This window comes from Homo sapiens, chromosome 5, assembly GCF_000001405.40.
Source record: "Homo sapiens chromosome 5, GRCh38.p14 Primary Assembly".
NCBI classification, from domain to species: Eukaryota; Metazoa; Chordata; class Mammalia; order Primates; family Hominidae; genus Homo; species Homo sapiens.
In genome coordinates, this window is record NC_000005.10 from 177939514 (window position 1) to 177959960 (window position 20447).

At 52.5% G+C, this 20447-nt stretch overlaps 1 long non-coding RNA gene across 1 annotated transcript, besides 2 other annotated features; it reads left to right on the forward strand.

Moving 5' to 3' along the window:
• On the forward strand, positions 14-20287 carry LOC100128340 (uncharacterized). Its single transcript, NR_149047.1, has 4 exons — positions 14-253; positions 12204-12443; positions 18096-18149; positions 20206-20287. It is a non-coding gene; the product is annotated as an uncharacterized LOC100128340 (long non-coding RNA).
• Positions 35-635: an enhancer, noted in NCBI's record as "H3K4me1 hESC enhancer chr5:177366549-177367149 (GRCh37/hg19 assembly coordinates)". NCBI's record gives its function as "activates a minimal SCP1, AML or CMV promoter by ChIP-STARR-seq in naive H9 embryonic stem cells {active_cell/tissue: H9 hESC(naive)}" and the evidence as "EXISTENCE:reporter gene assay evidence [ECO:0000049][PMID:30033119]".
• Positions 18553-19072: an enhancer, noted in NCBI's record as "H3K27ac-H3K4me1 hESC enhancer chr5:177385067-177385586 (GRCh37/hg19 assembly coordinates)". NCBI's record gives its function as "activates a minimal SCP1, AML or CMV promoter by ChIP-STARR-seq in naive H9 embryonic stem cells {active_cell/tissue: H9 hESC(naive)}" and the evidence as "EXISTENCE:reporter gene assay evidence [ECO:0000049][PMID:30033119]".
• Positions 20288-20447: the final 160 nt, after the last annotated feature.

Here is a 20447-nt window from a genome sequence, read left to right on the forward strand (position 1 = left end):
CCCTTCCGGCTCCTCCCCAGCAGCCGGCACCCGCCTGGCCCAACAGTGACAGAGCAGGGCGCGCAGCCGCTGAGTGCTCTGGAGTCCCTGCCCCGAGGTGCCACGCCCACGTCGGCCTCACCCGGGCAGGCATGGGGCGGTCGGGCTTAGCGCCGCACCCCGCCGGCCAGAGCCACCGTCTCTCCAGACGCGGCCCCAGCGCCCACTGGGGATGGCAAAGACGACATCCGGTGCGCCGAGGCTGCTCACAAAAGTAAGTCTTGCTGGCTGCAGGCGCCCGCATCGGCCAGTGCAAAGGTGGCCCAGAGTGCCAAGCGGCGGAGCCGAGCTTTGAGAAGCACCTTTCTGCTTGCGCTGGGCAGCGGGCTGCGTGTGACTGGCCACCTGGCCTCGGCTGGGAGCGCACTGGTGGCGGGCGGCGGGCAGGTCTCTGACAGGAGCAGGCGCCCGCGAGCAGCGGGGCTGGTGCCCAGAACCTAGCGCAGTGGGAGTTCCCAGCGTGGTTGTCCCAAGCACCAAAGCCGGTGTCCTGAAGCAAACAGGGCAGCTCTTTCGGGGCAGGTGTGGGCGAAGGGGCGGGGAGCCCAGGAAGCCACGAGTGGCACGGGTCTGCTGTTTTTGAAGGAGACGGTGCAGTCCTGGTTTCCTTTTTTAAAATTTTATTTTATTATGCTTTAAGTTCTGGGGTACATGTGCAGAAAGTGCAGGTTGGTTAACAGGTATACATGGGCCACGGTGGTTTGTTGCACCCATCAACCCGTCATCAACATTAGGTATTTCTCCTAATGCTATCCCTCCCCCCAGCCCCCGACAGGCCCCAGTGTGTGATGTTCCCCTCCCTGTGTCCATGTATTCTCATTGTTCAACTCCCACTTATGAGTGAGAACATGTGGTGTTTGGTTTTCTGTTCCTGTGTTAGTTTGCTGAGAATGATGTTTCCCAGCTTCATCCATGTCCCTGCAAAGGACAGGAACTCATCCTTTTTTATGGCTGCATAGTGTATATGTGCCACGTTTTCTTTATCCAGTCTATCATTGATGGACATTTGGGTTGGTTCCAAGTCTTTGCTATTGTGGAACAGTGCCGCAATAAACATATGTGTGCTTGTGTCTTTATAGTAGAATGATTGATAATCCTTTGGGTATATACCCAGTAATGGGATTGCTGGGTCAAATTGTATTTCTATTTCTAGATCCTTGAGGATGTGGAGAAATAGGAACGCTTTTACACTGTTGGTAGGAGTGTAAATTAGTTCAACCATTGTGGAAGACAGTGTGGCGATTCCTGGTTTCCTTTTTGAGCTCTACCTTCCTCATTCCTCCTCCAGCTCTGCCGCTTTGGCTGGCAGAGGAGTGCAGAGGCTCTCTTTGGCAAGGTTGCTTTGCTCTCCTGCGTTTTTGCCACCTGGTCTTTAAAAACCTAAAAGCCTGTGGTTTCTGGGGTGGCTCCCTTGGAGGGGCTGCAGTGGGCTGAGACCCAGCCTGCAGCCTGGGAGTTCTGTGCCACTGTCTGGGAGGGCACCTGAAGATGTGGCTTTGGGGCCATGGGAGGTCAGGGACAACACTTATGGGTGCAAGTTTTGGGTCTGGGTGTCGGGGCCAGGGGTGCTGCTGCACTGAGGATGAGGTGCAGGGTGTGGTGTTGAGTGTCAGGGGCAGAGTTGCTGCAGTGCAGAGGACAGAGGTGGTGCAGGGCAGGGTTCCTGGGCATGAAAAGGCAGGGGTGACAGAGCAGGAGCACCGTCATCTCAGACAAACACCGCCACTTTAAGTTCCAGCTCCCTTTCTAGCCCCATGCATTTCAAGGATATCACTTAACTTCTAACTACAAGCAGCAGCCAGAAAGAGCAGGCAGTAAAAGATAAGACAGCTTGGGCACAGAGGGAGGTGGGGGGAGGGGGGAAAGTCTCTCAAGTAACTACCAAACTTCACCCTCATACAATGGGCCCCAGTAAACCAGTGGGCCTTAATAATCACAGTCCTTTCCCTTCAGATGCGCTAAGATAGGGAAGCTAAAGCAGACTCGGGGGAGGGGAGGTATGCCTGCGGCTGAAGCAAGATGTATGGGAACAGACACACAATTCTCCCTCCCAGATAAGCACAACAAAGAGACATAGGAGCAGTGCAAGCCTCTGATAAACTCTCCCACCCTGAATCCTTAAAAACTTTTAGCATGTAGGGGAGTGCGGCTTCTGACTTGACTTGGACAGAAGTCCCTCCCAGGTTTGAAATAAACCTGCTGACTGTTGAGCCACCCTTCGTGTTTCTCTCCTCTTTAATTCTTACAACCCCTCCTTCTGAGATGGAGATGTTTCCAGCTGGGGAAACTGAGGCTCAGAGAGAGTCGACTAAGGGAAGGCAAGAAAGGGAGGCAGAGCCCCCTGCAGGCCCTCCTCACCCGAGGAACTGAGAGAAGCCAGGGCCAGGGCCTGGCCTGCCTTGCAACCCACTCTGCCTCCACCTCTCCTTGTGGGACCTCGGGGTGGCCCCATTTCCCTTGTGCGGGCGAGGAGCTCCTTTTTGCTGCCTGATGTTTTGGATCCTGAGCCCACACCCAGGCAGGGCTGTCTCCTCTCCCTATAGTTGCTGAGGCCATCAGGCCGCAGGCTTCACCTCTGTTCTCTACTGGGTGATCCTCTGGTCAGGTCCCTGGGTGTGCATGTGGAGGAAGGTGTGCATCCGTGTGCATGTGTGTCCACACATGTGAACACAGGTGTATGCATGTGTGCACGTATGCAAGTGTACAGGGGTGCACCCACATGAGGCTCCCCAGACCTTTTCCCCAGGAGAAGACCATATCTCCCCCTGGTGTCAGGTGTCCACTCAAGCCCTCCAAGGGTGGGGATGGGGAGAAGGGAAAAGTGCCTGGGATGCCAGGCAGGAGTGCAGGCTCAGATGGGCCCTGAGGTGGTCACAGAGCTGAGCCAGGCATCCAGTCTGTGCAGCAGCCAAGATGTGGCCAGAGAGGTTCCTGGGAGGTGGGGGCGGGGGGGTGCTATTCAGGCCCACCCCCTTCTCTCTTCATTCTCCTAGGGGACAGTCACAGGAGCTTGTCTGTTGCCAAAAGTCCCCCTCAGCCCCTCCCTACCTACAATGTCCCTTCCCTGGGCATAGGCCTGAGTGTGAAGACTGTGTAGCTGCTAGCAACAGAAACGGGGCTTGTATGCACCCAAGGGAGACAACTCCAGCTCTGTAAAGCCTGGCGGGGGTGGGTGGCAGGCAGCAGAGGGTCCAGTGGTTTAGGGTACCTCTCGTGGGCTGGCTGCCCACACCACCTACCCCTCAGCAGGCCGGCTCTGGACATAGCGGTTGGCCAAGTCCGAGCCAGCCCGTCTTTGCAACTCCTCCTCCTGCCTGCCAGGGTGACTTCACTTTTTCAGATCTGCAGTGATGTGCAGATCACTGATTCAGCCCTGAGCTCAGCCAGGATGCAGGAGAAAGAGGAGGGGCTGGCCCCGGGGCACCCCAGGCCCAGCTTCCTGGGCCCTCCCACCCCATGGCCCCATGGGCTTCCCTTCCTCCATCTGTCTGTGGCTGGGTGCAGGCCAGACCTCAAGAGGCAGCTGGGGGATATGGAAAGAACAGGGACTTTCCCCACAGAAGCCCAGAACCCACCTCCTACCTCACCCCAGGACCCCCCTGACAGGTCCATGGCTTCCCCTTTTTAGAGGTGAATGTGATGCTGGGCATCATTTCTTCGGGGGAAAACTGGATTCTCTGGGGCTCCATGCTGGCTCTCCTAGTCCCACACCCCGTGCTTTCCTGTGTAGAGGAGGGAAGGGCCCCCCCCACTCCCCCAATGAGGTGGAAAGTAGCCAAATTCTCCTGTAGATGTTTACTGCTTCTTTGAATAAATGTAGAAATTGATCCTCCCAGTCTTAAAGAAAGTTACATTTGTCTCACTGGAGTTGGTTTCTCCGGAAACCTCCCAGAGAACAGTAGGGAGTTGAAACTTACCAGCTCGGGGCCTGACATTGACAGGCCTGCCCCTCACCCCTCTGGACTGCCTCAGCCACCTGGTGCCTGTTGACCAACGCCTCTGCCTCCCGCCTCCCTAATTCTTGTTTTTCCAAACCTGGTTACATTTTTCCCAGGCCTGGCCTCCAGGACCCCCACCCTCTGCACTGCCCTGGATGCTGACAAACGCTCTCCTGCCCCCTTCCCTGCCCATATCTTCCCTTCCTCTGGCCTCTAGCCCCACAGAGGCTGAGCTCCACCGAGCCTCTGCCTCAGGAGAAATGGCTGGGGATGCGCTCTGGTGGGGGGAGCCTGGAGCTGGGGTAGGGATGGGCGGTTGGCGGGGAGGGTGGTGTTCTCAGAGTCCTCGGGTCACAACCCCAGCAGTCTCAGATCTTGCATCCTGCACGGCTTCCCTGCTGTCTTTGTGCAGCAAAAAGGGCAAAGCACAGGGACTGCAGGCAGGTGCACCTGGTGAAAGGAGGGGCTGTGCGTGCAAAGGCGAGCGGACCCAGGTTAGTGGTGGCCTTCCCAGCACCACGCCCTGCTCCCGCCTGCGCCCTGCTCCTACCTCTGCCGGCCGGCTTTGCTCTTACCCGCGCCCCGCTCCTGTGGCGACCCGCTCCTATCCCTGCCTGGCCCGCTCCCCGCTCCTGCCCCTGCCCCTGCCCCTGCCTGGCCCCCGCCCCGCTCCTGCCCTTGCACAGTCCGCGCTCCTCTCCTACATGCCGCCTGCGTGCTTCCCCTGCCTGCTCCTCTCGCGCACGGCGCTCGCCTGGCGGGCAGAGACCAGAGCAGGGCGTACAGCAGCTCAGATTGCCCAGGAGTCCCTGCCCAGAGGTGCCATGCCCACAGTGTCCCTCGGGTCCACCAAGCCCTGGGCAGGCATGGGGCGACCGGGCTGAGCGCCGCACCCCGCCCCGCAGAGCCGCCGGTCAGAACCACCGTCCTTTCTGCGCGACCCCGGTGCGCAGGGGCGAAGGAGACATCCGGTGCTGCTGCCGCTGCTCGGCAAAAGTGAAAGTCCCGCCGGCTGAGGGTGCCCTCACGGGCCAGCGCGAAGGTGGCCCCGTGCGCACAGCGCCCTGATAATTGCTTTTTTTCTTGTGATGGGCATCGGGCTGAGCGTCGCAGGCCACCCGGCCTCAGCTTGGAGAGCATTGGCATGGCAGGTCTGCAGGAGCAGGCGCCGGCCTGGCAGCGGGCTTGGTGCCCAGAACCCAGCCACAGCCGGAGGTCCCAATGTGGCTGCCCCTCCCGCCAAAGCCGCCTCCCGAAGTAAACAGGACAGCCCTTTCTGAGCAAGCATGAGCAGAGGGCCGGGGAGCCCAGAAGTCGCCACTGTCCTGGGCCTGCTGTTTCTGCAGCAGATGGCCCAGTCCTGAGTTCCCTTCTGCGCTCTACCTCCCTCATTCCTCCTCCAGCTCTGCTGCTGGAGTGGAGCGGTCTCTTAGGCAAGGCTACTTTGCTCTCCTGCATTTTTGCCACTCTGGTCTTTAAACATCTAAAAGCCTGTCGTTTCTGGGGTGGAACCCTTGGTGAGGCTGCCGTGGGCCTCAACCCACCGGGCAGCCTGGGAGTTACGTGCTGCTGCGGACAGAGCACCTGAAGATACGGCCTTCAGGGCCATGGGAGGCTCAGGGCCAACACTTACCGGTGCGGGTTTTGGGACTGGGTGTCAGAGGACAGGGGTGCTGCTGTGCTGAGGACAGGTGGGGCAGGGCGGGTGGCCCGGGCATCAAAAGGCATGGATGGTGCTGTGCTGAGGGCGGGGTTCAGGGTGGCGGGGCTGGGATTCAGGGCAGGGGTGCTGCTGTGCTGAGGACAGCGGGTGCAGGGCCGGGGGCTCGTTTTCAGGGGTCAGGGTGGGGGAATGGGTGTCGGGGCAGGGGTGCTGCTTTGCTGAGGACAGGGTGCAGGGTGGGGGGCTTGGTTTCATGATACAGGGGTGCTGTTGTGCTGAGGACGGGGTGAATGTTGACGGGCTGAAGGTCCAGGTACAGGGGTACCACTGCGCTGAGGACAGGGAGTGCCGCGTGGGGCCTGGGTGCCAGGGTTTGGGGTGCAAATATAGTGAGGTCAGGATGCATTGGGGAGAGTGCCGCAGGGACCTCGGGAGCTGTCACATGGCAGGGAGAGGCCGCAGTCAACACCCTGTGTCATGATTTCTTCCCCACCTGTGTGTGGCCAGGCGCAGGGGACTAGACAGTGGCTGCCAAACAGGGAGTGCACCCCGGCGGTGGCTGTAGGGGACCACGACAGTGGGGCCACCTCTCCCTGCGTGTCTGCACCTGGGCCTGCCAGGGCTGTCTGCCATGCTCCATGGGGTGGGGGTCTTCGGCCCCTGGGAGGCTGCCGGTCGGTGTGACTTGGAGAGGTTGTGGTCAGGGGTCCCCTGGGGGCTGTGATGCAGTAACTAACTGCACCCTTTGGGGCTGGGAGGGGTGAGAAGGTTCTAGGCCTCCCAGAGCCCACCTGGCTCCTCCATCAGAAAGGCAGCCAGGCTTGGGGTTGAGGAGGTGATGCTGTGCCCCCTGAGGCAGGCTCCACTTTCCCCAGGGGACCTTGGCTCTAGGGTGAGGCCCAGGCCTGGGAATGGCTCTGAGATCATCCCTGGGCCTCCGTGGAGCTCTGGCGTCACGGCTGTGTGGTTGTGGGGACTTCCCCACACAGTATGTTCTTGCCTTGCATCCACTCAGACAGAGAGCTTACATTTTTATACTTGTTTATCATTGTGAGTTTTGAATAAATTTTTATAACTTTGTTTCAATTAATCTTTACTATCTTCAGCTAGACTTAATCAAAAATTAAATCAATTCTTTATTATTAAAATTCATAGGACTAAAAAAGTATAAAAATTGAACTAATTAAACCTTCAAAGAATATTTTTATATATTTGCAATATTTTTGCTTCTAAAATCAATTAAAGTGCATGAGAAATTTTGGAATATTCAGCATACACACACACACACATATACACACATATCTGTGACAAATCAATTCAGTATTTTCAAATAGAAGAAACAAGCCTTTCTTTTAGTTCAGAAGCTTTATTTTAGTATTTCTTATAAGGTAGGAGTGCTGGCAGCAAATTTTCTGTCTTTGTTTATTGGGGAATATCTTTATTTTTAAAGGATAGATTTGCCGGACACGGCATTTTTAGTTGACAATTTTTTTTCTTTCATTCTTTGACTATGCCATCCCATTGCCTTCCCACCATTGTTTCTTTCTTCTTCTTCTTCTTTTTTTTTTTTGAGACGGAGTCTCCCTCTGTTTGTTGCCCAGGCTGGAGTGCAGTGGTGTGATCTCAGCCCACTGCAACCTCTGCCTCCCAGGTTCAAGCGATTCTCCAGCCTTAGCCTCCGAGGAGCTGATATTACAGGCACGCACAAACATGCCCAGCTAATTTTTGTATTTTTAGTAGAGACAGGGTTTCATCATGTTGGCCAGGCTAGTCTCGAACTCCTGACCTCAGGTAATCCACCTGCCTTGGCCTCACAAAGTGCTGGGATTACAAGCGTGAGCCACCGTGCCTGGCTTCACCATTGTTTCTGATCAGAAATCAGTGGCTAATTTTATCGTGGTGCTCTTGTACATGAAGAGAAGTTTTTGTCTTACTGTTTTCAATATTTACTCTTTGTCTTTTCATAGCTTGACACAGGTGTGTAGGAGTGGATATCTTGATTTTTATTTTACTAAAAGTAAACATTGATTCTATAGATTAATGTTTTATATCAAATTTGGTAAGTTTTCAGCCATTATTTCTGTAAATAGTTCTTTGTTTCCCCTCTTCTTTCTTTCTGAGACTCTCTTTCTACATATATTGTGCTTGATGTTTCATAAGTCATTTTTCTTTTTCTTTTTCTTTTTTTGAGACAGAGTTTCGCTCTTGTTGCCCAGGCTGGAGTGCAATGGCACGATCTTGGCTCACTGCAACCTCTGCCTCCCAGGTTTAAGCGATTCTCTTGCCTCAGCCTCCCGGATAGTGGGATGCACCACCACACCAGCTAATTTTGTATTTTTAGTAGAGATGGGGTTTCTCCATGTTGATCAGGCTGGTCTCGAATTCCCGACCTCAGGTGATCCGCCTGCCTCGGTGGCCCGAAGTGCTGGGATTACAGGAGTGAGCCACCGTGCCTGGCCCTTTTTAAGTTCTTTTAACATAAGTAACTGCTTTGAAGTCTTTGTTTGCTAAGTGTGACATCTGGGGACACAAAGACAGTTTCCCCCCACACTTGCCTGTTTCTTTTTGTCTTGTAACTTATCATTGAACACTGGATACTTTAGGTTATAGACTCTTCAACTCTGGATTCTGATTCTTTTCTGCTGAGAGTTGTTACTGTTTGTTCGTTTGTTTGTAACCAGCCTGCACTAAATTTGTAAATTCTGTAAGCAGCGTGTAGCCGGAGCCGTCTCTGCTCATTTTTTGTTTCTTATGCATGGCTTCCCAGGAACCGCTCCTTTATCTGCGTGCTTGGTATTCTGCCAACAGTTGTCTGAATTTGTACACTAACACCTTGAGTCGGTGAGGCTTCCACTGTGGCTGATGGATCTACCCGTGGACTAGGGCGTGCACACACAGCTCAGGCCATCTGCTTTCCACAGGCACCTCCCCTCGCTGTGTCTTCTCTTCGCATGAGCTCAGGCACCGTCATCAGTCAGTGATGCTGGGTGGTTTGGGCAGGTTCTGGTCTCTGAGGAGACGAGCAGAGCTACTGGTCCTTCCTGTGTGTTTGCATCGATATCCCTATTTGAAAATTCTCCAAATCATGTGAGTCCCTCTGGTGGTGACAGCAAAGCTGCTGGTTTCATGGTGTTCAACAAATGTGTTTTATATTTAGGTCTATGGGCCGGGAGTGGTGGCTCAGGCCTGTAATCCAAGCACTTTGGGAGACTGAGGTGGGCAGATCACCAGAAGTCAGGAGTTCAAGACCAGCCTGGCCAACATGGTGAAACCCCGTCTCTACTAAAAATACAAAATTTAGCCAGGCATGGTGGTGGTCACCTGTAATCCCAGCTACTCAGTGGGCTGAGGCTGGAGAATCGCTTGAACCTGGGAGGCAGAGGTTGCAGTGAGCCGAGATTGCACACAATAAATAAATGATTTAATGCCCATACAATGGAGTGCTGTGCAGCTCTTAAAAAGAATGCCACAAGCATGGTCAACACATACTGTTCTACTGGATGAGGAGTATTACCATCAGCTCCATTTTTCAGGTGAGAAAACTGAGACTTAGGGAGGCTACATAATTTTCCGAAGGTCACTCCCTACTGAATGTAGGAGCAGGGATCTGACAGCCACCTAATGACACCCTAGAACAGCACTCTCTCCTCCGCTCTCCTCCATGTCCCCCTCTGACTCCCGGGAGACCTCCCCAGCTTGCAGTCCCCAGGGCCCTGGTGTCCATAACCCGAGGAAGGGGAGGGGCCCATGAGATCTTGGACTTTCTCACTTTCTGAAAATGAGCAACTGAGAACGAGACTTGACTTTGCTTAGGAAGTATAAACAAATGCGACATTTATTGCCTATCAAATATTAGAAGCAGTTCGTCTATTTAACGTGTGTTAGTATCGGTGTTCCTTTTTATTCAAACTCTCCCTATTGAGCTCAAGAATCAAAGTCAGATAACTTTGTCGATAAATCCCTTCCTTTCTACACCCTTGCTACTCACTGTCTCAAGACCCAAACTCACTGGGACAAGGCGCTGCCCCTCCTGATTCAAGCCTGGTGTCTGCCTCTCACTATGCAAATCAGGAGCCAGACAGCCGCGGAGAGGGCGGCGGTGAGTGCACAGAGCACACGCATGCGTTCGGCTTGCCCCCACGCCGCCCCCGTTATCTCTGTGTGTGTGAAGATGAGAAATTTTCACTTCTCCAGTGAGTTACTGTACTGCTTTGACTCTCACAAGCGTGTCGACTTGATGGATTTTTGTAAATATAGCCGTCAGCGGATGCCTCTTGTCCCCATCTCGGGAACCATAACCCAGATTCCCAAAGGGGAGCTTGCCCACATGGATGGAAACTGAGGCCCTCAGAGAGGCCATCGGCCTTGATCCCTTGCTCCTATTCAAAGATCTCAACATTATTGCAGCCTTCCTTGGGGCAGCCGGACATTCCCGTGTGGAGGAAGCGTCCACTCACGTGCCATGGGAACTTTGTAGATTTCACTGTGATGCAAACAGCTCCCCGTGAGGCCCTCAGTGCCCAGGGCCCGTTGTTGGGTGCTTTTGAGGGTGGGAGGTGGAGGGGTTTCCATTTTGCTTGGGGGATCAGCATCACCCATTCTTTCTCCTTTTCCTCTGGGCTGGTGCTCAGATGGTGAGAGCACTGTGCTGATGAGGTGGGCCCTGGGGTGGAACCCATGGCCCCCTCCGACTCCCAGGAGACCTGGCCAGCTGCAGCGGCCCCCGTGGACCAGCAGAGGGACAAGAGAGGAGCTGACGTGGAGGAGCCGAGGCCCACTGGGGGCTCCTGGAGAGTCCGTCCGCCTGTGGACAGCAGCTCAGGTGTTCAGCTGCTTCCAGAGAGGAAGCACCTCTTCCTAGACTGAGGCATCGTTTTGATTAAAAAAAAAAAAAAGTTGATTTTTTTCACCTTGGTGTAAATTTTTGTTAGTAACAATATGTTAGTTGTCAGTTACCACTATTTGTTTTTCTTTCTTTCTTTTTTTTTTTTTTTTTTTACATTTTTGAAATTATTTACAGAGATGGGCTCTCGCTACGTTGTCCAGGCTGGTCTCAGACTCCTGGCCTCAGTGGTCCTCCCACCTTGGCCTCCCAAAGTGCTGGGACTACAGGTGTGAGCCGTGGCACCTGGCCTGTTTTTCTTTATTACTACAGATATTATCTGAAGCTTTAAAGCCTCCTGGAGTGAAAGCTAGTTCATAACCACGCTGTTTGGAGCGAAGAAAACTACCTGGAATTCTTGTTCTCCAAAGATATGGAATTATCCCAGCAACAGCCGTCCTTCACTGCTCTGTCCTGAGGACCCTCAGGTGTGGCCCATCCAGCCCCTCAGTGTTTACCTCTGTCCTAAGGACTCTCAGGTGTGGGCGATCCAGCCCCTTAGTGTTTCCCTCTGTTTTGGAGATCCTCAGGTATGGTCAATCCTATTAGTGTTTTCCTTTGTACTGGGGATGCTCAGGTGTGATCTATCCATCTTCTCAGTGTTTTACCTCGTTCCTGGAGACCCTCAGGTTCCATCCATCCATCCAATTGGTTTTTACCTCTGTCCTGGAGACCCTGAGGTGTGGTCTATCCATCCCATTAGTGTTTACCTCTGTCCTGGGGACCCTCAGTTGTGGTCAATCCATCCCATTAGTGTTTTTCCATTGTCCTCGAGACTCTCAGGTGTGGTCTATCCGTCCCATTAGTGTTTACATCTATCCTGGGAACCCTTAGGTGTGGTCCATCCATTTCTTTAGTGTTTACCTCTGCCTTGGGCCCCTCAGATGTGGTCGATCCCCAAAGTGTTTTATCTCTATTCTGGGGAATCTCAGTTGTGGTTCATCCATCCGCTTAGTGTTTACCTCTGTCCTGGGGACCCTGAGGTGTGGCCCATCCCCTTATTGTTTACCTTTGTCCTGGGGGCCCTCAGATATGGCCCATCCATCCCCTGAGTGTTTTACCTCGGTCCTCGAGACCCTCAGGTGTGGTCTATTAATTTAGTGTTTACTGCACCCTGGGGACTCACAGGTTTGGTCTATCCCAATAGGTTTTTTATGTCGGCCCTGGGAACTCTCAGATGTGGCCCATCCATCCCGTCAGTGTTTCCCTCTGTCCTGGGGTCACTCAAGTGTGGTCCATCCACCCCCTCAGTGTTTCCCTCAGTCCTGAGGATGCTCAGGTGTGGCCTATCCAGCCCCTCAGTGTTTTCCTCGGTCCTGGGGATGCTCAGGTGTGGTCCATCCATCCCCTCAGTGTTTCCCTCGGTCCTGAGGATGCTCAGGTGTGGCCCATCCAGCCCCTCAGTGTTTTCCTCGGTCCTGGGGATGCTCAGGTGTGGTCCATCCAGCCCCTCAGTGTTTCCCTCGGTCCTGAGGATGCTCAGGTGTGGCCCATCCCTCCCCTCAGTGTTTTCCTCGGTCCTGGGGATGCTCAGATGTGGCCCATCCATCCCCTCAGTGTTTCCCTCGGTCCTGAGGATGCTCAGGTGTGGCCCATCCATCCCCTCAGTGTTTTCCTCTGTCCTGGGGATGCCCATCCCCTTAGTGTTTTACCTCCAACTTTCTCTATTTTTTGTTTCCAGTCTTCCCACACAGGTTGAGAGAGGAGGGGATCCAATTGCCTGTGAGGAGGACACGGCTCCTGGGTGGACCCTGCAGATTGTGAAGTTCAAGTCACAGCTCCTGGGAAGGTCTCTGTGTGTAAAGATCGTGGGGGTGAGACAGATTCAGGGACCACACTCTGCTCTGCTCTGTACCTCTGAGTGTCGATCCAGCTGCCTTGTGACCAGGACACTTAGAAGAAGCATGGACCCTGCAAGAGGGCAGGTTTGGAGAGTGAGATGAGCACGCTTGAGGGATTAACGTGTAACTTGAACCACTGCCTCGCAAACTACGTGAGGGCGTGCAGGTGTGTGTCTGTGCGTGTGTGTGCTGGGGGGATGTTTAGCAGCCTCACGGAGGGGTAACTCACATACAAGAGAACAAGGCCAGGCGTGGTGGCTCACGCCTGTAATCCCAGCACTTTGGGAGGCTGAGGTGGGTGGATCACGTGAGGTTAGGAGATCGAGACCAGCCTGACCAACATGGTGAAACCCTGTCTCTACTAAAAATATAAAAAATTAGCCAGGTGTGGTGGTGCATGCCTGTAATCCCAGCTACTCTGGAGGCTGAAGCAGGAGAATCACTTGAACCCGGGAGGCGGAGATTGCAGTGAGCCGAGATCACGCCACTGCACTCCAGCCTGGGCAACAAGAGTGAAACTCCATCTCAAAAAAAAAAAATTTTTTTTTGATCGATGTTGACACACATACGCACCCGCAAAACCATGACCAGGAGCATCACGACTCCCAAAGCTTCCTCGTGATTCTTTGGAATCCCTCCCTACAGCCCCTCCCACCCCCCCCCATCCCAAGCAGCCACTGATTTGCTTTCTGTCACAGTCAGTAGATTTGCAATTTCCTTAATACCATGTCTGAGCCCAGTAGGCAAATACTTTCTTTTTATTGGGTGGACATTTTGTGGCATGTTCAAGCTTTTGAATTCAGAGAGTGAGAGAATGAGAAAGAAAAGGCTGGTCTGGGTCACTCCTGGGAGGCCTGGCCCTAAGCACCGTGTGGCTCACGTGCCCTGGAGCCCCTGTGCACCGGACATCCCTGACTGCCCTGCTGCAAGCTTTATAGCTCCCCCATCACCTTTCCCGGACCAGCTGGTACAATCTCAAACTTTTCACCAATTCTGACATCTAAACAACTAACGCCAGAGACAGGCTCTGTGGGACCAGCAGCTGCGACCTCACCTCCGGTCACTGGAACACTGAGCTGTTAAATGAAAGGTGCGTCCTTTTTTTTTTTTTTTTTTTTTGAGACAGCGTCTCGCTCTGTCACCCAGGCTGGAGTACAGTGGCACGATCTCCGCTCACCGCAACCTCTGCCTCCCAGGTTCAAGCGATTCTCATGCCTCAGCCTCCTGAGTAGCTGGGATTACAGGTGCCTCTCATCACGCCCAGCTAATGTTTGTATTTGTTGTAGAGACAGGGTATCACCAGACTCCTGGGACCTCCGCCTCCCGGGATGGTCTCCATCTCCTGACCTCGTGATCCGCCTGCCTCTGTCTCCCAAAGTGCTGGGATTACAGGCCTGAGCCACCGCGCCCGGCCAGGTGCGTCCTTCTTTCTCCCTTTCCAGGGAGAATGCTCTGCTCTTCTTCCTGCTGGATCCCTCCTCTACCTGCTTCTCTCCCACCTCCTGCAGCCCCCGGAGCCCCATGGCGATGCAGGCAGACTCATCTGTACCCTCATTCTGTTTGCAGAGCCACATCTCTGGGCTGGCTCTGCCCAAGGACACCACACCTTCTCCATTCCTCTTGCCCTTTCCCCGTGGGGTGCAGGTGGGGCTGGGCCCACGATGGCATCAGGCCCACTCTCTCTAATGCAGGAAGGGATCAGATGCCGGGAGCCATGGAGATTGTCCTCATCCCGATCATCTCCCATCTTAGCAAATGATGATGAAGACAGTTTTCCCACAAGATAGGCATAGCCTCTGGGACAGTGCCTCGTTTATTTTCTAGCACAAAATAGACGTTAGAACAGTGGGGCTTTGTGGGCATATGGAGATTTTTAAGGCTCCTTAGGAGGCAGGTAAAAATTTCTTCAATAAGACAAAACACTATCCCCAAAGAAAATGATTGATACATTGGATGATAGTAAAATTAAGAATTTTTTCATCAATAAGAGTAAAAAGATGGGGCCGGGTGTGGTGGCTCACGCTGTATCCCAGCACTTTGGGAGGCCAAGGCGGGAGGATCACTTGAGGTCAGGAGTTAGAGAACAGCCTGAGCAGCTTAGCAAGACCTCGTCTCTACAAAAAATGAAAAATTGGCTGGGCATGGTGGTGCATGCCTGTGGTCCCAGATACTTGGGAGGCTGAGGCAGGAGGAACACTTGAGCCTGGGAGGCTGAGGCTGCAGTGAGCCATGATTGTGCCACTGCACTGCAGCCTGGGTGACAGGGTGAGACTCTGTCTCTTAAAAAAAAGAGGTGGGGAATGGAGGAGGGTGAAAAGATAAATTACATGTAGAGTATAAAGAGAATTCCTGTAAGTTAATAAAAATGCATGCGGGGGCTTAATACCTAGGTGATGGGTTGATAAGTGCAGCAAACCACCATGGCACATGTTTACCTATGTAACAAACCTGCACGTTCTGTACATGTATCCCAGAACTTAAAGTAAATTTTTTTTTTTTTTTTGAGATGGAGTCTCGCTCTGTCGCCCAGGTGGATTGCAGTGGCGTGATCTCAGCTCATTGGAAGCTCTGCCTCCTGGGTTCACGCCATTCTCCTGCCTCAGCCTCCCGAGTAGCTGGGACTACAGGCACATGCCACCATGCCCAGCTAATTTTTGTATTTTTAGTAGAGACGGGGTTTCACCGTGTTAGCCAGGATGGTCTCGATCTCCTGACCTCGTGATCCACCTGCCTCGGCCTCCCAAAGTGCTGGGATTACAGGCATGAGCCACCGCGCCTGGCCTAAAGTAAAATAAATTTTTTAAAAAATTAAGAAAAAAGCTGGCAGACCAATAGGACAATGGGTGAAAGAAATGAAGAGGGACACAAAAGGGAAAGAAGAAAGGGAGGGAGGAGGGGGGAGGGAGGGAGGAGGGAGGGAAGGAGGGAGAGGAAAGAGCAAATGAACATCCAAATGGCCAAAAAGCATTTAAAACATGCTCAGCCTCATAAGCCATCAAATTTAAACCACAGTGAGAAATCAATATTACACCTACCAGAATGGCTAAAATTAAAAACACTGTTGATACCAAGTTTGGGCAAGAATGTGGAGTAACTGAAACTTCATATACTATTGGGAATGTAAAATAGCACAACTACTTTGGAAAACCCCTGGGTAATACCTACTAAAGGAGACCACACCTGTGATCCCCACATTCCACTCCTGTGCATAGACCCAAAAGAACTGTGCACTGTGCACGTGTTCACCAAATGACGTGCGACGTGCACTAGAATGTTTATACCAGCACCCTTCACAATAGCCCCAACTTCCAACAGGAGAATGGATAAGTACCTCTCAATATATTTATAGAGTAAAGTTCTTACAGCACTGAAAATGGATTAACAGCCGCCATGCACAGTTGGTGAATCTCAGCAACATAATGTTGAGCAGAAGCAGCCAGACACAAATGAATGCGTACGGCACGATTGTGTTTCTGCGAAGCCCTAAAACAGGCCAAAGAAACATCTGGTGAGAAGTCAGGATAGCGATGATCTTAGTGCTCTGGGGGAGGGTGGCTCTGGTATTATTCTATTTCTTGATCTGAGGGCTGGTGTCCCAGACGTATTCACTCTATGATAATTTACCAAGCTGCCCTCTGGGGACTGGTGGCTTCTCTGTATGAATATTACACTTCAATTAAAATAACAAAAACCTAACAGTCAAATTCAGAAATGAGTAAGGCCGGGCACGGTGGCTCATGCCTGTAATCCCAGCACTTTGGGAGGCCGAGGCAGGCAGATCACCTGAGGTCAGGAGTTTGAGACCAGCCTGGCCAACACGGTGAAACCCGTCTCTAGTAAAACTACAAAAATTAGCCGGGTGTGGTGGCACGTGCCCGTAATCTCAGCTATTTGGGAGGCTGAGGCAGGAGACTTGCTTAAACTTGGGAGGTGGAAGTTGCAGTGAGCCGAGATCACGCCACTGCACTCCAGCCTGGGTGACAGAGTGAGATTCTGTCTTAAAAAAAAAAAAGCAAACGAGCAAAGGACTTGAATGGACATTTTTCCATACTCAGCATCACTAATCATTAGGCAGATGGAAATGACAACGAGATTCCATTTCACTCCTACTACATTGACTAGTATCAAAGAAAACCCAGAAAATAACGAATGTTGGTGAAGATGTGGAGAGACTGGAACCCTTGTGCGCTGCTGGTGGGAATGTAAAATAGTGCCGCCCCTCTAGTAAACAGTAAGGCAGTTCCTCGGAAATTATACCTAGGGACGCTCCAGCAATTCCACTTCTGGGTTTATATCCCCCAAAAATTGAAAGCAAGGAAATAAAGAGACACCCATCCCTGTTGATAGCCGTGTTATTCAAAATAGATAAAAGGTGGGAGCAACTCATATCCATTGACAGACGAAGGGATCAATAACATGCGGTATGTACATACAATGGAATATTATTCAACCTTACAAAAAAAGGGTATTTGGACCTAGGCCTCAACATAAATGAATCTTGAGGACTATGCTGAATGACATAAGGCAGACACAAAAGGACAAATATTGTGTATTTCCACTCACATGAAGTACCTAGTATATTTCATAGAGACACAAAGTAGAATGTGTCTATGAAGTATACAGGGGCATGCTTGAAGTATACTAGGTCTAGTAGGAAGCCAGGGGCTGGAGGGAGGAGGGAAAGGGGAGTGGCTGTTTAACAGGCAGAGTTTCAGTGAGGATGAGGAACGACCTCCGGAGATGATGGAGGTGATGGTAGCATGCCAATTGAAGGCTCTTAACATTACTGAACACTTGAAATGATGCAGATGGGAAATTTCGTGTTACACATATTTTATCACAGTTTTTCAGGTAGTTGCCTTTTAAAAAAGTTCCTTCAGAATTTGTTTTCCTCCTTGACATGCATATTTGAACACTGGAGACAAAATTTCTGTATCGTTCTTGGTCAGCAAAATGTTTTGTAAAAGTGTCAGGAGGAGGCCAGGTGCGGTGGCTCACGCCTGTAATCCCAGCACTTTGAGAGGCCGAGGTGGGCAGATCACCTGAGGTCAGGAGTTCAAGACCAGCCTGGCCAACAAGGTGAAACCCTGTCTCTACTAAAAATACAAAAATTAGCCGGGTGTGTTGGTGCACAACTGTAGTTACAGCTATTTGGGAGGCTGAGGCAGGAGAATCGCTTGAACCTGGGAGGCGGAGGTTGCAGTGAGCTGAGATCGCACCACTGCACTCCAGCCTGGGTGACAGAGCAAGACCCTGTCTCAAAAATAAAATAGTAAAATTTAAAATTCAGGACCTCCTCACCAGAGCTATACTTTGAGTGCACAGTAGCCATATGTCTATACTGCAGAAAACATTTCCATCCTCCCAGAACCTTCTCTCATGCAGCTTCTGTGAGCCTCGCATCAGTTGTGTTCACTGAACTCATCTAACTCAAAGCACATGCATCAAAGCTGGAATTTCAGGGTTATCGGTTTGCAGGTGAGAGCCGTAATGGTCCAGTGGAAGTGTACAGCTGGAAGGGAATGTCGTCAGCTCCTCCCTCTCACCTGAAGGCTCTCGACTATGAGCCGTGCCTTGTTGACAGCCTCTGAGTCCACAGAGCACAGGGAGAATCTGAGGACACAGGACAAGGCAGGAGACCTTGTGTCCTCCACGTGGTTGCACATAGAGTAGAAGAGCTGGGTGAGTAACTCTCTGGAATCACCTTTCTGCTGATGTTTGTGTCTCTACAGATGGGCTCAAGGACAGCTTGCCTGACTGCAGCCATAAGGATGAAGCCTCTTCAGGTAGAGAAGGACTCCAGGTGGGGCCTGTGCAGAGGGTTCTTACGGGCGCAGTAGGATTGGGGCTATAAAATCAGTAAATGGAAAAGGAGCCAGGTGCAGAAGTCTGATTTATTCCTTTTTTTTTTCTTTTTCTTTTTGGAGACAGGGTCTTACTCTGTCACCCAGGCTAGAGTGCAGTCAGTGTGCCACTGTGGCTCAACCTCCGTCTCCTGGGCTCAATCAATCGTTCCACCTCAGCCTCCAGAAAGTAGCTGAGAATACAGGTGCATGCCACCATGCTTGGCTAAGTTTTGTACTTTTTGTAGAGACAGGGTTTCGCCATGTTGCCCAGGCTAGTCTTGAAATCCTGGACTCGAGATCTGTTCACCTCGGCCTCCCAAAGTGCTGGGATTATAGGCAAGAGCCACCGAGCCCGGCCTCCTTTTGTATTTTAATTAAGACAGAGTCCTAAGAGGTTGTGTTTGCATGGATGTTGTGTGTGCTCTGCTTGTCATATTCATTTCTTGCTCTGGTGTTTAAAGATGACCTTTTGCAGAAAACCAGATCTTTCCTGCCTGTGCCACAGAAAGCACTAAATCCTTGGGTTTTGATGGGATGGCATCCTTTGTGAATGGAGAACACGGGATTAGTATGTGGGTGTGGCATTTGGTGCTATGCGGGGAGTGATGTGGGACACAGCCCCTCACAGCCCCTAAGTCTCCCTGGAGACAAAGTCTCCCACGTGTGTGCCAGGAGGTGGGAGGAGTCCACCCTCTCCCTCTGCACCCTTGGGACCTGCAGCAGCACCTTCCTGTCCCGTCCTCACCATCGGCTCCGGGTTGAAAGGCACCCACAGGGTTGGATGATGCAGAGAATCCTTCCTCTGGGATGAATATGTATGCCCCGGCTGTGGAGGCACGAGGGGAAGCCCACGCTTCACCCGCCGTGGGGTCGCGAGGGGAAGCCCACGCTTCAGCATGTTTCTGGCCACTCCTCACCCAATCCCAAATCCTTGGGTTAGGAATGAAGCCTTAATTGGGTTTCATTTGAGAAGTCAGTGTCCAGCTGTCACCGAGGCCCTCCGTGGCTGGCAGGAATCCTAGGGGACATGCGTGGAGGGGCTGCTGTGTTGCTGCAGGCACTGGCTCTCACCCTCCCCGTGACCTGGCTCCAGGAATCCACCACGCCCAGGACGGGGCCACTGGGCAGCCGGCACAGGGCTCAATTTTTTGTCACGCCCTTTGCTCTGGCCTGGCAGCCTTGTCCTGTTCCCCACGCTGCCATCAGGCCCAGCGTGTTCCCTGGGTCAGGCCGGCCAGGTGCCCTTCCGCCCAGTCCTCCCACAGCTCAGGCAAACCCTGGCAGGGCCCCTTCGTTCATATGCTAACAACCACGGCTTCACCTGCGGATTAAGGCAATGGGAAAACGGGCTTTCCCTGGAATCCCGTTCTGTCCTTGCCAATCATTGAGATGCTAGTGGGATTCTTGTTAGGCTTGAATAGTTTACATTTCCAGGGTCATCCCAGGCTTTGGTCATCATCATCTCTCACAGATCCCAACACAACCCAGGCCTGTGGCCATGTCCCTGACCTAGGGTGGGATCCATGGATTTACTGGAAGGACTGGCAGTGCCCTTCTTTCCAATGTTGTTCTATTGGAGACCAGTAGCACTGGTGGAGGTTGACATGGAGAAAGGAAACGGGCATCAATCAGGAGAACAAAATCAGGCCCTAACGGTTAGAGCAGAGAGGGAAGTCTGTGCCAGGCACAGAGCATCATGGAGACAGTGGCCGCCTCCTGGGGAAAGGGGATGACACGGGCCTCCCCTCCCTGGGGAATTTGAGGGTTATGGAATTTGAAGGCTGGGAAAGCATGTGGGAAATCAGAGGCCCCTCCCTCGCTGTAGGGAGGAAGTGATCCAGGCTGTGGAGAGGACTCTAGAGATGAGCACACTAGAGCCTCTGGGGTTGGCGTCACAGCCCCAGGACAGCGGGGCCCAAATGGCCCCTCGACTCTAACTCTCCCCTTTCCTTCCCATGGCTGCCCCATCACCGCTGCTGCTCTGGACACCCTGAAGGTCATTTGGCCAATTTAATGCCGACAGAAGAGGCCACCATCTGAATGTAATTTATCTCCTCTTTCATCTCCTTTCATTCCCCTCCTCCTTTTTTTTTTTTTTTTGGGACAGAGTCTCACTCTGTTGCCCAGGCTGGAGTGCAGTGGCGTGATCTTGGCTCACTGCAAGCTCTGCCTCCCAGGTTCACGCCATTCTCCTGCCTCAGCCTCCTGAGTAGCTGGGACTACAGGCACCCGCCACCA